Source organism: Homo sapiens, chromosome 20 (assembly GCF_000001405.40).
Source record: "Homo sapiens chromosome 20, GRCh38.p14 Primary Assembly".
Classification (NCBI taxonomy): domain Eukaryota; kingdom Metazoa; phylum Chordata; class Mammalia; order Primates; family Hominidae; genus Homo; species Homo sapiens.
Window position 1 is genome coordinate 54135547 of NC_000020.11, and position 17897 is coordinate 54153443.

Consider the following 17897-nt stretch of genomic DNA (forward strand, 5'->3'; position numbering starts at 1 on the left):
CATGAGACTTATTCACTATTGCAGGAATAGCACGAGAAAGACCTGCCCCCATAATTCAATTACTTCCCACTGGTTTCCTCCCACAACATGGAGGAATTGTGGGAGTTATAATTCAAGGTGAGATTTGGGTGGGGACATAGTCAAATCATATCAATTACTTTCATGGGGCTGCCATAACTAAATACTGCAAACTGGATGGCTTAGATCAACATAAATGTACTGTTTCCCAGTTCTGGAGGGTACAAGTCTAAAATCAAGGTGTCAGTAGGGCTATACTCCCTCTAAACACGCTAGGGCAGGATCTGTTCAGGTCTTTTTTCTGTTTTTTGGTGGCTTAGGCATTAACTGTCTTGCAAATGGCCATCTTCTCCCTGTGCTCATCCCATAGTCTTCCCTGTATGTGCGTCTGTCCTGGTATCCAGATTTCTCCTTTTATAAGGACTCTGATCGTATTGGATTAGGACTTACCCCAGTGACCTCCTTTTAACTTGATTACATCTGTAAAGTCTGTATTTCCAGATAAGGTCACATTCTGTGGGACTGGAGGTTAAGACCTCAACATTTTTTGTAAGGGGGAAGGTAGATGGGGGACACAATTCAACCCAAAAGCTTAGACTAATTTCCCATTTGTATGCTGAATCCCATTCCTTTCCACCAGCCAAATGGATCTTTCGGCAATTGTACCTGTTTCCCCCTGCATTATCTATTTTTCCCTTTCTATTGATCATTCCCATCATATAGAAGCAGGATCTAATAACCCCCATCATAAAAGCTAACCAACCAATCAAAGAAACAAAAAACTTGCTGATCCCACTTATCTTATTTACAGAACTCAAAAGAATTGTCTTTACTCTATGGCTCTACTCCTTCCCCTTTGCTTTCTCTGAAGCTCACTTCAATAAGGCTTTAACCTACCATGCCATCAACATCTCTTTGGTTATGGCCAAAAGCACTCTATATATTATCAAATTCAATGGGCAGCTCTCAAGTCTTGTCTTACTTGACCTGTCAACTGTGTCATTTGACACAGTAGGCCACTCCTTCCTTTTTGAACCCATTTCTTCACTTAATTTGAGGACAGCACTCTCTTTTGCTTCATCTCCCATCTCACTGGCCATTGCTTCTCAGGGTTTAGTCTTTGAAACTCGTCTCTAGATGCTCCATGCCTTGAGTGATGTCACCCAGCCTTGCGGCTGTATACCATCCATATCTACATACACTAACAATTCCTGACCTCTTTCTTTAATGCCAGGCTTGTATATTATGTTAATCCTTCCTCTCTACTCAAATGCCTGATAGACTTCTCAATATTTTATGCCCTAAACTGACCTCATGATGATCCTTCGTGCATATCCTAGTTCTTTTCTTGTCTTCCCTGTCTCAGAAAATGGCAAATTCATGATCCTAGTTGCTTAAGCTAAACCCTTGGCATCATCCTTAATTATCTGTCTCTTTTTCTCATGTCTCACATACAAGTATCAATGAATCCTCTTTGCTCTACTTCCCCAATACATCCCAAATTCAGGCATCTATCACCATCTTCATCATTGTCAATCTGGAGCAAGCCTTGATTCACCTTCGCCTGGACTATTATAATCATCCCCCAGTTAGTTTCCCTATCTCTATTCTTGCCCACCTCTAGTCCATTCCGGACCCAGCAACCAGAACATGTAACTCAAAATCCACCAATAGCTTCCCTTCTTGATAAGCATAAAATGCCAGCTCATTTCGTTGGCCTTCAAAGCTCCCCATGAGTGCATTCTTGGCCACCTCTGACAGAATCCTGTACCACTTATTCCTGTATTCCCTCCACTCCAGTCACGCGAGCATCCTGGTTCCTTTTTTACCCTGCCAACTGTGCTTTCTGCCTCATGGCCTTTGCATTCACTGTTCCTTTAATGAGGAATGCCCTTCTTTTAGGTATCCACATGGTTTGCTCCCTCATTTCATCCAGGTTTCTGCCCAAATGTCTCCTTGTCAGAGAGGACTTTCCTGCCCACTCTAGCTAAAATAGCAATCCCTGTCCACCAATATTCTCCATTTCCTTACCCACTTTCTATTTCTTCATAACGCTTATCACGGCTAGGAACATTTTATATTTATTTGTTTTTTTCCCTTACCTCTTTAAAGTATAAACTTCAAGAGAGCCACGACTTTGTTTACTGATGAACACTTCCTTAGCTCCTAGCATGGTATACAGCACATAGTAAGTGTTGAGCAAATATTTCTTTGTCAGTTAATGTGTTAACTCCCTGTTTCTCTCTCCTTCTTTCTCTTCCATTTTCATTCTCTTCCTTCCTATCCATTTTTACTTTTTCTCTTTCTTTTTCTTCACATTCCACTTCCATCTTCATTTTTGCTTCATTTTCAGTTTAATATCAGAAAAACAGATTGATTCAAAGACTTTCAAAAGGAGAAAATTCAATGTAATCCTTAAAATTGTTATGAAAATTGTTATAAAAATCAAAGCAGAACCACCCATAATTTGGTGGTTAATTTTCAAAATAAAAAGCAGCTGAAATTTTAGGGCTAATTGCAAAAATGAATAACTAGATTAATCCATCCCTGCATTGTTTTAACCTGAGTTTCTAAGACACTGACTTTTCAAATAAGCTAATATAAAAGAGGGGCTCCAAAAATTTACCCATACCTATGACAGAAAGTAGCTTGCCTTTCTGTGTATTATTTATGCTACATGGATTAAAAATTTTATAATAAACTTCTTAGTAAAGAAAGAAAATATCTCATTTTTCCTCTACACTTTTGACTTCTTCTTCTTTTTTTTTTTTTTAAAAAAAATTCCCATCTGCTTTAATGTTTTTCTTTGGTTAATATTTTGGGATTTGTTCAACAAACTTACTTCTTAATAATGCTTGATTAAGCCTTGTTTGCAAAATCAAATATCTACAGATGTGGGCAAGAAACACAATCAAGTAGGCTCAGGGTAAAAAAAAATGTCTACAGTTTAGGGGCCTGTGACAAACTGGAGACACATGCTTTGTGTAAAGGGAATACTATGAAAGTCAAAACAAATATGGGTGCAGTACAAATTTAGCTGGTAGTTTTTTGACCTCTGACTTAGGTGACTATTATAATAATCTGGTAGCTGCTAGTCCTTATATTCCTAGTAGCTAACTGTGGGAGGAAGTGCATGGTATCGAAGTTACAAAACAAATATTAGAGTAGGGAAAATCAAACTTCTATGAAAAATAAGTCAGCAAGTGAATACGTAAAATTGAGTGGGTATGTATGTGTATGTGTGTGTGCATCTTCAAAATAATAGTCAATTATTATGCAGTGATGTACTGTGGCTCTCTGGAAACATAAGAACCACATACAAAATATAATGGGATGAATCACAAAGTCGGTTGCAGGTAGACATATGCTTGGGTACAATTATTTTTAGGGTATTTTCTGCAAATAATGGAAGTTAAAAGGAGAAATCTAATCAAAACCAGAATCAGCTTCCAGACAGCCAACCCATCTCAGATGTGAGAACTTTTTGTTAGCTGGTTATACCATGCCTTCCACTCCGTGGTGAGATGATGAAGATGCCCCTGGGTGAACTGCACCCTGGTTTTCTTCCGTTTCGTATACTTCGTTCTTGCTTTGTGCATACCTGAAATCCATGCAGACTGGAACGCACTGTGCACAGTTGTGTGGTGACTGACGCCTGACCGCTTCATCATGTGTCTTAGTTCATCTGGGCTGCTGTAACAAAACGCCTTAGATTAGGTCATTTGTATATAACCAAGATTTATTGCTTATAGCTTAGGAGTCTGGGGAGTCCAAGATCAAGGCACCAACAAATCCAGTGTCCGCTGAGAGCTTGTTCCCTGCTTCAAAGATGCCCTCACATAGTGACGGGGGCAAGGGAGCCCCCTTGGGCTTCCTTCCATAAGGGCACTAATCCCATTCATGAGGGGTTATGACTCATGACTGAATCACTTCCCAAAAGTCCCATCTATTAACACTGTCACATTGGGTATTAGGCTCCAACATATGAATTTTGGGGGAAACCAACATTGAGACCACAGCGCCATGGAGCTGTGCTAAGTGAGAGAGCGGTTCCTGTATGCGGGGGTTTTCGTTAATGCAGTACCATTTAAAGTGAGGATTGCTTGTATCAGTAAATCAAGACAGCTTGTTTTTCCATACCTTTGAACTCAAACTTACCTAATGTTTGCTACTTTGATGTTTGTTTGTTTGTTTTCAGATACTCATTTAGGGACATAAATCATCATAGTTGTAAGCCCGTGCTCCAGGGTCAAAAAGAATATTGGGTTCAAAGACCAGGTCTGCCTCTTATTGCCTCTGTGACCTGTGAGACGTTTCTTAACCTCTCTAAGCCTCTGTCTCCTCATCTCAAAAATGGAGATAATCATACCTCACAGCTTTGATTAATGTGAAGATTAAAGTGAGATGCTGCTTATAAAAAACTTAGCCATAATAGGTAGCATAACAATTCTCAGTATATATTATCAATGACTCCCTTTGCTATTACTCCTTTTATTAGTAATACAGAGCACAGCTACTCCTTGAAGTGTTTCATAAAGTTTGGTGACACTCTTAACACTCCTGAGAGGTCAAGCATACAATTGGCTTAGGTTGGAGGAACAGTGAACTTGGTGGTCTTGTTGAGCCCTGGTCATGCATAACTAGGATGCCAGATGCTTCGACCTGTAATAAAAAATTCCCCTTGAGCTTGGTAGAATTTGGCAGGCTCACCGTTCATCCTTACATGAGCCGTGTGAGTCAAGCACTGGGCCAGCTCGGCAGAGGCATCGAAGTTCAATCACAGCGCAAAATCTAATCAATTCTCACAGTCAATGAATGAACTGATGATTCAGGTATTTATAGCAAAAGGTGTGAAGAGATTATTTGGAACATGGTGGAGGGTAAGAAACAGGTATAAATCTATTCCAGAATTTCATTTCTTGTGAGTCTTCTAGGAAATGAGATGAATGAACTTTTAAAGAACATTCATTATTCAGCTGAGATTTTTGAGCATCTACTATGTGCCGGGCATTAGGCTAGCTTCTAGCAAAGGAGCTGAGAACAAGACTATGTGAGCACCAGCTCTCACAGTGTTCAAAATTTATGTCAACATCTATGCTGAGTGTGTAGCCCTTATTACTCAGCTTGGCACTTTACCTTTCTCTAAGTTGTCAGAAACTACTAGAAATTTGAACGGTTTCCATCAATGTATTCAAATGAATTGCTTTAGTGGTGGGCAGAGGAAAGATCCTGTTTTTTCCTCCCCTAACACGCACATCCCATTAATCAACAGATTCCTTGTTATTTAATAATAAATAAAAATACATTAACTTGTTGAGGCAAACATGTTTCCCAAAGCCATTATTAAAACTGAATTACCAACAACATGGTTTGAACAGTAATATCATGACCACAAGTCATTTTTCTCAGTTGACTTTCTGACTGGTGATACAAAATCCATGGGAACTGTCTGAATTGCGAGGCAAATATTTTAGTAATGAGTCGATCCCCAAAACAATTTCAACACTGGAATGGAAATTTATACATTCCTTAAGCTTTGCTTCAAAGACAGGTAAAATTCCTTCTGAATTGGGTAAATGGAATGCATTCTATAAACTGTACCCTTTTGTTACAATGAACCCAATTGCTCCCGTCGTTCATAATCTGGCCCAGCAAGCCAATTCTTTGTTCCATTGCTAATCCATAGTGCAGATTTTAATCTCCAACAATTAGTAACCCATTCCTACATATCTTGGAAAGTTCATGACTGTCAGGGTAGGCAATTTTTACGTTGTGTATATAGGTCTCCAAAGAGACAATACATGTTTGTGGAATGAATACATGCTTTTAAAATTCCCATTTCAATAAGTGGAGTTTGCAGGATACTTTAACATAGCCCAGCTGAGAAAAATTTTAGTGAAAGAGGAATCTAGAATAGTAGTTTCCAACTGAGGGTGATATCATCCCCCAGGGGACATCTGACAATGTTTGGTGTCATCTTCGGTAGTCACATCTGAAAGAGGGTGCTATTGGAATCTAGTAGGTAGAGGCCAGGGATGCTGTGAAATATTCTACAGTGCACAGGACAGCTTTCCTACGATGAAAAATTATCTGGCCCTAAATGCCACTAGTGCTGAGGTTAAGACACCCTGATCTGGAGGGAATGCTTCTCTTTCTTTCATCTCTCTCACTGGGGAAGTCAGCTGTGTTGTGAGTAAGCTCCAGCAGCCCTATGGAGAGGTCCATGTGGTGAGGAACTAAGGCTCCCTGAACAGCAGTCAGCAACTTGTCTGTCACCTAAGTGAGGCATCTTGCAAGGGCATTTTCCAGCCTCGGTTGAGCTTTCAGATGAAAGCGGCTCACGCAGACACCTAGATGGCAACCTCATGAGAGATTCCCAGCCAGAACTAGCCAGCTAAGCCACACCCAAATTCCTGGCCCTCAGAAGTTGTAGACCAGTGGTCCCCAACCTTTTTGGCACCAGGGACTCGTTTCATAGAAGACAATTTTTCCACAAATGGTGGGGTGGTGGGGGATGGTTTTAGAATGAAACTGTTCACTTCAGATCATCAGGCATTAGTTAGGTTCTCATGAGGAGCAACAACCGAGATCCCTCACATGTGGAGTTCACAATAGGGTCCACACTCCCATGAGAATCTAATGCTGCCCCGATCTGACAGGAGGCGGCACTCAGGTGGTGATGCTCGCTTGCCTGCAGCTCATCTCCTGCCATGTGGCCGGTTCCTTACAGGCCACAGACTGGTACTGGTCTGTGCCCTGGGGGTTGGTGACCCCTGTTGTATGTGATACATTCTTCTAAGTCATAAAGTCGTTAGTAATTTCTTACGTAGCAGCAGAAAACTAATATAAGTACCTTACGTTGTATCTACACCGAATGGCTTCATTTTATTTTCCTGTATTCCGGTGAGTACAAGAAGAATGGTGAAGGATATGCTTTTTGATTTTGTGGAGAAATGAAGACTTGCAGAATAAAGCATCTTGCTTAGTTAATAGAGTCACAAGCCATTTGATGGAGTACCTGTTGAGAGTATAGCCTAAGGAAGCCTTGACTTTGAAGCCCAAATCTGCCACTTTCTAGCCAAGTAACATCTCTAAGCATTGATTTTTAAAATATGGGAACAACAGGAGCACCTGTTTGATACGGTTGCTATGGAAATTACAAGAGATAACAATGTAATGTGCTTAGCACAATGAGTGGCTGATGGTAAACGCTCTACAAATGTTCATTGAAGAAATAGTTGTTATGATTACATGAGTGAGTGAGTTTTTTTTTTTTCAACTCAAATCACTCTGTTTTTCTGTTTCACATCTTTGCCATTTAAAGGTTTGGGAATGAGTCTCAAAGCCCATGATTTGTGATCTTCTGGCATTTTGCTGAGGTTGGGATTAGAATTATTTAAGTTGCAAGGTGGCGTTTGGTGGAACTCAGCGATCTCCCAGCTGCCTGTGCAGCTGTCTCACCAGAGCCAGTGAGGCACTCATTCTGGGGGCAAAATTTAGCAGAGTGCCAAAAATCTCAGTACTGTTAGGGTAAATATTTTTATATAATATTTTAAAAATCCAATTGGCAAATGATGGCTAACCACCTGTTTTTGTAAATGAAGTTTTATTGGCAGTTCACTACTCACAGCTGTGAATTCAATAATTCACATCACGCTTTTTAAGATGATTATTTTCTTAAATTTATTTTTCGTTTATATTTACAGTGAAATTTTTGCCCTTAAGCAATATTCATGTGTGCAAGCAATTGTGAGGTTAATGGCACTTATCCCCTGGAATGGGTCTGTATGAATTTGGAAGCTGTGGCAACATGTTGCAGACAGCTTATCATGAACAGTTGTGGCTGGAACTGATAATGTCTTCTCTCATTGCCAGGCTCTTGATCCTTCCTAATTCATATGATTTGCATCCATAATTTTGGAACTAAAAATATGTCTTTTAAACAAGTAATATATAAAGAGAAATGTTCCAAATCCTATTTATATTTTAATTTATTATTTTTTATTTCCATAGGTTTTTGGGGAACAGGTGGTATTTGGTTACATGAGTAAGTTCTTTAATGGTGATTTTGGTGTACCCATCACCCAAGCCCTACTTTTAATTCTAAGGTGATAGAGATCCAGGATTAAAAAGAAGGATAAACAAAAAGAAAATAGAAGTAAAAAAAAATAGAAATCAAAGCATCAACTAATGATATGGAAAAAGAAAAGCCAAACCTTTGTTCTTTGAAAAAACTAAAAACAGGCTTTTGTTGAGATACAGACAGCAAAAAAAAAATCCTAAGAATAAAGCAAAAACTTCTACAATTATAGATGTTTTAAAAAATCGTAAGTGAATACAGTTAGCAACTATGTGCCAATAGGTTTATAAGTCTAAGTGAGATTGAGAATTTTCTAGAAAAAAATGTAAATTACTTACACTGACACAGAAAGTAGAAGAAAATCTAAATAAACCAGTAACCATGAAGGAACTGAAGTGGTGGCAAACATCTGCAGGCCTGTGCCAGCGCTGGCTCCATCGGTGGGGACCTGAGCTGGGTAGTCACATGGCGGCCCCATGCTTAGAAGTACCTTGCTCAGGGTTTAATTCTTTGCTGGCTTTGGGTTTAATTCTTTGCTGCTACTATCTTAAAATTCTTTTTCTCTTTCTTTCTTTTTTTTTTTTTTAGACAAGGTCTCACTCTTCCCACAGGCTAGAGTCCGGTGACATGATCACAGCTCACTGTAGCCTCAAACTCCTGGGCTCAAGTGTCACAGCTCACTGTAGCCTCAAACTCCTGGGCTCAAGTGATCCTCCTACCTCAGTCTCCCTAGTAGTTGCGACCACAGGTGTGCACCACCACACTTGGCTAATTTTTTTTTTGAAGTTTTTGTAGAGATGAAGTCTTGCCATGTTGCCCAGGGTGGTCTGGAATTCCTGGGCTAAGGTGATCCTCCAGCCTCAGCCTCCCAAAGTGCTGAGATTACAAGTGTGAGCCACCACACCTGGCCTTAAAATTATTAGTTTGTTATATTACCATATATAAATTATAATATATGTTACATTATCAACTGTTAATTATATTATGAAAATATAGTAACATATTATTAACTAATATATTAATATATATTATAGAATTAATTATAGTATATATTAATAAGAAGCCCTCCTTTTAATTTTGTGCTTGGCCCTGCAAATTATGTAGCCAGACCTGTACATACTGGTATACTTTTATAGGTGAGTTTTTCAACTAATTTTACAGTACTGATAATCTAAAAACTTTTGAAAATAGGAAAAGAAGGCAAATTACCCAGTTCAGTTTAGAAGATCATTGTAACAATTCCAAGATCTCTTGATGAAAGTCATTCAGAAATTTGGAGATAAAATGTTATTTCATTGGACCTGCCAAAATATGAATAACTGCCATAATCATTTATTACCTAAGAAGTTTGATATTGACCCTTACAGTTGAGAATTGTTGTGTCTTCAAACGAAGTTGTTTTCTAATTTTTTGTTTTTTCTGTTTCCAGCAAAAAGTATGCTAGAATAGCTTATCCTAAATTCATTCTAGGTTAGTTGATAAGTTAACTATTTTAAGCTCTTCCGGCATTTCTACACTCTTAAAGTCTTAATATGAATTTTTTTCCAGGTCACTCGCTAGTGAACCTTGGAAAGATTTGGCAAATTGACTTAATGTTTGTCCAAAGTCAGACTCAGCTTATTTTTCCGGAAGCTCTAAGTTAAAAAAAAAAAAAAGATGGAATTAGTGTTGGAAATCTTATTAAGAATACAGTGGAAGCATACTTGTTTTGTTCTTTTGTTCTGTTTCTATATTTCTGATCCAGCTACGTTGTTTCTCTATAAGGCGGGCAGATCATTTGAGGTCAGGAGTTGGAGACCAGCCTGGGTAACATAGCGAAACCCCATCTCTATTAAAAATACAAAAATTAGCTGGGTGTGGTGGCAAGCACCTGTAATCCCAGCTACTTGGGAGGCTGAGGCAGGAGAATCTCTTGTACCCGGGAGGCGGAGGTTGCAGTGAGCCAAGATCGTGCCACTGCACTCCAGCCTGGCTAATAGAGCCAGACTCTGTCTCAAAAAAAAAAAAAAAAAAAAAAGGGGGCTGCCCTCTGTTTCTTGCCACGAGGGCCTCCCCAACACAATTGCCTGCTTCATCAAAACAGATGACTATTACAATCCTTTCTCACGTAATCACCAAGTGACATCTCATCACCTTCGACATATTCTATTGGTTAGAATCAAGCCACAGGCTCCGCCACACTTAAAGGGAGGAATTTACACAAAGCTTTGTTTGCCTCATAAAATATCATTCACGTATTATTTTACTTAGGGATCATCTTTTAAAACTTGAACAAATTGATTTACAAGTAAATTTTGTAGTAGCACCAGAACTTTAGAAATAACTGGTATTAGCAGAAGATAATTGCAAACATACATATTACCAGCAATAAAAATTACTTGTCTGTGTACCTTGAAAATTCATCCTGTGTATAACTTGTGATTATACATAAGCATCCTTAATAAAATGCTGAAAAAAATCAATGTAATACACTTAATATAATGCCAATCACACAGTCAGCCCTTAATCAATGTAAGTTATTCTTATTACAGATCTATTAGGTTGGTGCAAAAGCGATTGTGGTTTTTGCCATTACTTTTGCACCATCCTACTACAAGTTTGGTCTCCAGAATATATTGTATATCGGATGAAACACAGGCTGAACATCCCTTTTCCGGCACCCTTGGCCTATTGATCATGATCTTCTTTCCTGGCATGCTTGGACTCAACTTCAGAATGTTTCTTGATACTGTGTTTCAGGCAACTGCCACCAATCAATTGGTGTTGGCACAATCCAGAGGACCGCTACCGGTCTCCAGTAGATTTCACCTGGTGTAGAGAGATCTGGGCCAATCATAACAGAAAAAAAGCATTAACAATACATAAAATGAAGGGGGAAAATTGATCTATTAAAAAGAAAACAAATGCAGATGAAAAAGCAAAGCATTTCTTTTTCAAGTATGTCATCAACTCTCAACTTCATATTTATTTTGTCTTCCTGATCTCTTTTCTCCCACAATATGGGACATCCTCATCACTTTACCTTTCTGCTCAATGTGTGCAAAATATATTGCACACCCAGTTTTATGAAAGCACAACAGATTCGGGAGGAGAAAGTTTCCTCTGTGCAAATCTTCTAATCAATTCTAAAGCATTGGTACTTGGGAGTTGATGCTACTTGAGAAGCTCAGGTGCAAGGCATCCTGATGACTAAGGGTTCTGCAAATATTTTATTGCTGATAAAGGAGGTTCTAGAGGACAAAACAATCATGGAGAAGCATAAGTGATATTAATCACTTATTAGGTCAACTTCCAACCCAGGAGATTAGGAAAAGCTCAACAAATTAGGCCAAATCATAAAATGGCACCTTGGCTTTCAACCAACAGCTTTCTCCTGAATACTTGCTGATAGATTCATTGACTGACCCATTTAGGTTCTTTGAGCACCAAGAAGTGCAGGGAAATGAGCAAGAACTATGAAGTCAGACAGACTGGGGTTTCAGTCCGAGCCTGCTTGCTGCATTTCCCTGAGCAAGATACTTAACTTCTCTAAGCCTAATTGAAAAATGAGAAGATTCCCAGAGATTTGGCAAGGCCATGGGAGAAATTGTTGGGACAGGTTATAGAAAAGGACTAAAATACTCAAAATAGATTAGTGGCCCTAATCAGATATTTGTGCATTTCAGCTTTTTAGAGAAATGCAATGAGATGCCCTAAAAACCAAAGGAAAAAAATTCATAGATTTCTAGAACGTGCAAAATAGACGTTGAAAATGAGGCGTGCCAGGTGCTATCAAGAGTAGAGGCTGAGTCAGGACTCAATGTTGGGGACCGAAGCTCAGGCCCTGCCCCAGAAAGGATTAGCTCCAGCTGATGGCTTTGTGGGCTCAGGGGCCACACAGACCAGGACCTCTGTTTTTTCACAGAAGCCAGAAATATGAGATGGTGCATCTCATCCCACAACTGTTAAATGTTAGTAAATCTTTAAATACCTGCTATTTACTGAGAATTCATCATGTACCAGACAGCTTCTAAGAGTTTTAGTGCATTGTTTCCATTGATTCTCTCAACAACTGTATGAAATATGTTTTGATCATTATTTCTGTTTCATAAATGAGAAAACTCAAGCACAGAGAGGTCAGAATCACTTCCCCAATGCCACACAGCAGAGGAGCTGGGATTTAAACCCAATCTATCTGCTTCCAGCACTCAGTTCTTTTTTTTTTCTTGAGACAGAGTTTTACTCTTGTTGCCAGGCTGGAGTGCAATGGAGGGATCTTGGCTCACTGCAACCTCTGACTCCTGGGTTCAAGCAATTCTCCTGCCTCAGCCTCCCGAGTAGCTGGGATTACAGGCACACACCACCATGTCCAGCTAATTTTTTTGTATTTTTAGTAGAGACAGGGTTTCACCATGTTGGCCAGGCTGGTCCCGAACTCTCGACCTCAGGTGATCCACCTGCTTTGGCCTCCCAAATTGCTGGGATTTCAGGCATGAGCCACTGTGCCCGGCCTGCACCCAGTTCTTAACCACCTCGATACACTGCCTATTTTTCTTTTCTTTTCTTTTTTTTTTTGAGATGGAGGCCTATTTTTCTTTTAAATTATTTTGACATAATTTCAGAAAAGTTACATGAACAGTACAAAGAATTCCCATATACCATTCACCCAGATTCTTCAAGCATTTGCATTTTACTACTTTGGTTTTGTCCTTCTTTTTCTCTCTTTCTACATACACAGACACACAGACACACACACACACACACACACACACACACACACACACACACGTCTTAACTCTGAATGCTGAGCTTGCCTAGAAGCAGTAACATCCCAGTAGCAACAAGCACCAGGAGCCAAAATCTCGATTTCTAAATGTTCTTTTCTACTGAAACAAATTAGGACTTCTTGAAGAAACAGATGATTCCACGGTGGGGCAGGTAAAGTACAAGATCAGCCTGGAATATTTTATTGTTCCAGAAAGCAGGAAGTGCTCAAAAATGGTAACAACATGTCAAAACAAACAAACAAACAAAAAACCAGCAACAATGCACAGGAACCTATTTAAAGAGGCTCCCATTAATCAAATCTGGGGCAATCTGAATATCAAAATGAATAATGACAGTGTAAAAATTATAACCCATTCAAAAACATAAGAATCTGCAAGCTCGCACTGACATAAATAGACATAAATTATAAATAATTAATTCTTCCTGACAGCACGACTGTAATCTCAGCACTTTGGGAGGCCGATGTGGGCAGATCACAAGGTCGAGAGATCGAGACCATCCTGGCCAACATGGTGAAACTCCCTACATAGCTCACCACAATAGCAAGTTTATATGCATTTCTGTGATTATTTGATTGACATTTCCTCCCCTTGTTCTTCCCCATCCTCCGTAGTAGGATACAGATGGCGTAAGAGCAGGGACATGTTTATTTTGGTTTGCCCCTGTACCCATGATGCTTGGCTTACAGATCTTCATAGGCACTCATTAAATATTTCCTTTTACCTGGTTGTCCTAGTTGTAATGTTTACAACCACCATTTATGGTAACCAATAAAGCTAGGCAAATTTCCCAGGACTCGTGCCAAGTTGTAAATCCTCCTCTCCAAGGTCTTCTAGATTACCAGGTCATACAGTGCCTGTCACAGGGTAGATGCTTAGTGACTCAGGGCAATTGTGATTGTCATCAGTAACACACGCTGCTCAGTGCTCGTAGCTTATTATGACACCTTTCTGGTCCCTATTCTGTCTCCCTCAAGGCTGACTCCATATTTTAGCTTTAACAAAATTTCCAGGGATATTTGTGGGAAACCAGTACACAATAATATATATGGAATTCAGTCCAGTTGGCTTTTGTGATGTCCAAATAATTTTTTTGAGAGAGAGGAAGGGAAAAATAAAAAGAGAGAAAGGAAAAAAAAATGAAGGAGGAAATGGAGAGATCAAAGGAATTCCTCAACGTTTGTAGCAGGGATTCTACAGACCAGGTACTGCTCCCCCGGAGAGTAGGAATTATTTATGGGGAAATTACTTACACAGGGGATGGAGTGAGGTTGCATTATATGCACACTTAACCCAGGCACATCCAACCATCCATGCTTGGAGTGGAAAGATGACTATGGAAGGATGTAGCCCAGGTGATTCCAACACCCTCACTCAATGAGAACAGCAAGATGAGAAACGAGATCCACCTCTTGCCTTATTTCTCATGCACATCTCAAAATGTGAGCTCCTGATGCCCTTGGTGTGGTTCTAGCATCTGAGGAAGTGCATTTTTCATGTGACATGGCCCCTAGACATAAGCCAACTACTTTAGGTTGTTTTCACCCACTAGAGCAGAAAGCTTTTCCAACACCGGAAGGAATCCTCTGTGGATTAAAACCCATTTATGCCTAGTGTTCCATTAGTGGAACGCTAAGCTTCTGGGAGTTATTGAAATCCCACTGCTTAAGGTCATCGCTAAGGTCTGATTTTTCACAAAAAAATTTGCAACCTCTGGCATAAATGGGTTAATGAGGGATGAAACTATGTGTTTACGGTATACTTTACAGATAATTGAAGGGATGTAAAGTTTACCGTAACTCTAAGAAATTTTTACTCTGGTTGACTTTCAAACCTAAATCCCCAGTGCGCTTTCTCGCTAATGAAACACCTGTGAGTTCCATACCCCTTAAACTTCATGCTGATATAGCAGGAAAAATCCTAGATTTTATTTTATTTTTTGATATTGAATTTCACTTTTTTGCCCAGGCTGAAGTGAAGTGGCATGATCTCGGCTCTCTGTAACCTCCGCCCCCCAGGTTCAAGCAATTCTCCTGCCTCAGCCTCCCAAGTAGCTGGGATTATAAGCACCTGCCACCATGCCCAGCTAATTTTTAGTACAGATGGGGTTTTGCCATGTTGGCCAGGCTGGTCTCGAACCCCTGACCTCAGGTGATCCATCGGCCTCGGCCTCCCAAAGTGCTGGAATTACAGGCATGAGCCACCGTGCCCAGCCAAAAAACCCCTAGATTTTAAAGTTGTTAACTTCACCAGGTTTTAATTCTAGAGGAGTCATTTCCCAACTGTGTGACATGGGGAGTTTACTTAACCTCTCTGAGCCTTAGCTATTCAATGGACGTTAACATATGCGATGCACAAGTGTTCTCATGAAGATCAGAAAATTTGAAATGTACGTAGCTCGGTGCTGAGCATAGAGCAGGGATGGTGTCCAAATTCTTATTTCCTCAATCAGAGAGGCAAAAGTCAAACAACTCCCTTTACAGGGGCAGAACCTGTCAAAAGAAATGTGCTGGGCCCAAATGGGAAAAATGAGACAATTACACCATCTGAAAATACAAACACGATCAGTTTTACCTACTTGTGGAGCAGAACCTAAGAGACTTATGGGAAATTAATTTTTTTTTAAGTGAAAGCAAGTTTATTAGGAAAGTAAAGGAATAAAGAATAGCTACTCCACAGGAAGAACAGTAGCATGGGCTGCTTGATTGAGTAGACTTGTAGTTATTTCTTGATGATATGCTAAACAAGGGGTGGGCTATTCATGAGTTTTCCAGGAAACAGGTGGGCAATTCCCGGAACTGAGGGTTCCTCCCCCTTTTAGACCATATAGGGGAACTTCCTGATGTTGCCATGGCATTTGTAAACTGTCCTGGCGCTGGTGGGAGTGCCTTTTAGCATGTTAATACAGGAAATTAATTTACTTTTCTGTTTAGAGTCTTCTTGGGACTGATGGAGAATCACCAGGACAATTACAAAATACAGTGGACTCCATCAACCCAATGGTCTAATCATGGGAGGTTTTACCCTAAATACTGGAAACTACAAATCCACAGATTAAATTTGATACATTTGGTTTGGTTCAAATCTAGTTGCCAAATAGTGATTTTTCTAATCCCATCAATTTTGTATACTTTTATTTAATTAATTTATTTTTTGAGACAGAGTCCTGCTCTGTCGCCAGGCTGGAGTGCAGTGGCATGATCTCGGCTCACTGCAACCTCCGCCTCCTGGGTTCAAGCAATTCTCCTGCCTCAGGAGAATCTGCCTTTCTCCTCCCAAGTAGCTGGGACTACAGGCGCGTGCCACCACGCCCAGCTAATTTTTTGTATTTTTAGTAGAGATGAGCAGTACATGACGTGCATCCCACAGGTCCGGGAACCAATCTATCTTTGTTGGAATCCTGGCTTCCCTACATACTAACTGTGATTCTAAGGAGATTACTGAGCACCTCTGTGCCTCAGTTTCCCCAGGTGTGAAATGGGAAGAATGATCACATCTACTTACAGGGCAGTGACAAGGATTTGTGAATTCATATGTAGCAAGTGCACAGAGGAGAGACTGGGGCAGCAAGATCAGTCAATAAATATTATTATCATCATGACCACATTGGCCATGTCAGTGTCGGCTCCAGGCAACCTGCTCAGGGAGGTGAGGGGCAGCAGACGTGGCCCTTGCTCCACCCTGTGCTCCTCACACCCATTTGCCGGTCTTTGTGCCCTTCGCCCAGGTTTTTCATGCTTTGCTCCTCATGGCTGGCACCTGCAGCCTTCTTCAAAGACTACCTTCTGGCTACTATAGCCATTTTGCCTGGACATGTAAAGTCTAGAAGTATCTTAGAGTTTATACCCCAAGGTGCAGCCTGAACTGAAGGAGTGTGGAAGCCCTGCTCCCTGGGCACAAGGAGAACAAACTGAGCTGCAATGTACACTCCAGAGCTCCCAGAGATCAGGCTGAGGCTGGAACTTCACTCAAAACCACACGCTTGTTTGGCTTCTTTCCCTTCCTCATCCTGCTGTCCCCACAGTCGCACAGGTCTCCTTGGGAATCACAACCCTAATGAATCCCGGTGCTGGGGACAGCCCCTGTGGGATCTAAGTCATCAAGGAAGATTTCCTTCAGGAAATGAAAGCTGGGTGGACGTAGATGGTGCGTAGGAGAAGAACAGGCAGAGAAAGAGCATGCCGGGAGGGAGACGGTGGGAAGAACCCTCTTGCTAGCATTTAAGGAACAGCAGAAACTGGCAGAAGCCACTGTGGCCTGGTTCCAGAGGCCTCTGGGGGTGGATGATGTGGGCTGAGGCCTGGGGGATCAGTGGGACCTCAGTTGATAGGGCCTGGAAGTGTGGATTGCAGAATCGGATCTTTACGTAAGAGCAATGGGAAGCCCCAGAGGCAGGATGAGGCATGATCAGGTTTGGGTTTGAAAAGACCAGTAAGGCAAGTGTGCAAAGAACAGAGGGGAAGGAAGCAAGAGAGGACTGAGATCAGCTGGGAGCTCCTGCAGAGACTAGAGATATTAGTGGTCCAGGCAAGAGATTGTCAGTATTGCTCCCAGCCACGGAAAATTTGGCTGTTGTAGGTCTTTCATTGTGAAATGTAAACTTATTCTTGGGAATTAAGTATTCAAACAGTGAATGTGGTAGGCAGGGGCTGAAATGGTTCGTAACCTCTACCTGACTGCCAAGTGCCAGCCTCCCTTTCATGTCATGAAAGATACAAGAGAGAACAGGCTCCCAGGCCGTTCTACCCCCCTTTCAATCACACAACCAGTGTGTGACTGATTGTGTGATTGGAAAGGGGGTAGAGATAGAAGTAACTGGACTTGGGAAATATTTAAGCAGCAACAAAATGGAAAGTTATTTTGCAATTACAAGAATAAACTTTCAGTAAAACTGCTATTAAAGTCTAGATTTATCTAAGGGTAAATTTTGTGATATAGGGCTTGTAGGCCATATGAGAAAATTTTCTACCAGTAAAATAAAGTTTGAATTTGTTTTTATTTTGTTGTAACAAAGGCAATAAAGAGGGGAAGTC

General features: G+C 40.6%; 1 protein-coding gene across 2 annotated transcripts in view, besides 1 other annotated feature; it reads right to left on the reverse strand.

The window, feature by feature from the left end:
* Positions 3406–4605: an enhancer, noted in NCBI's record as "CDK7 strongly-dependent group 2 enhancer chr20:52755491-52756690 (GRCh37/hg19 assembly coordinates)". NCBI's record gives its function as "activates an origin of replication core promoter dependent on BRD2, BRD4, P300/CBP, MED14 and CDK7 cofactors, with strong dependence on CDK7, by STARR-seq in HCT116 cells {active_cell/tissue: HCT116}" and the evidence as "EXISTENCE:reporter gene assay evidence [ECO:0000049][PMID:35650434]".
* The window catches only part of CYP24A1 (cytochrome P450 family 24 subfamily A member 1), a 30449-nt gene continuing 20543 nt past the window's right edge, over positions 7992–17897 (reverse strand). The window contains exon 12 of one of the 2 annotated variants that reach the window (XM_017027692.3): positions 7992–10921. The gene's annotated coding sequence lies outside the window, so the exon portion shown is untranslated. The remainder of the gene's footprint in view (positions 10922–17897) is intronic. The other variant, XM_047439938.1, reaches the window with a different exon arrangement.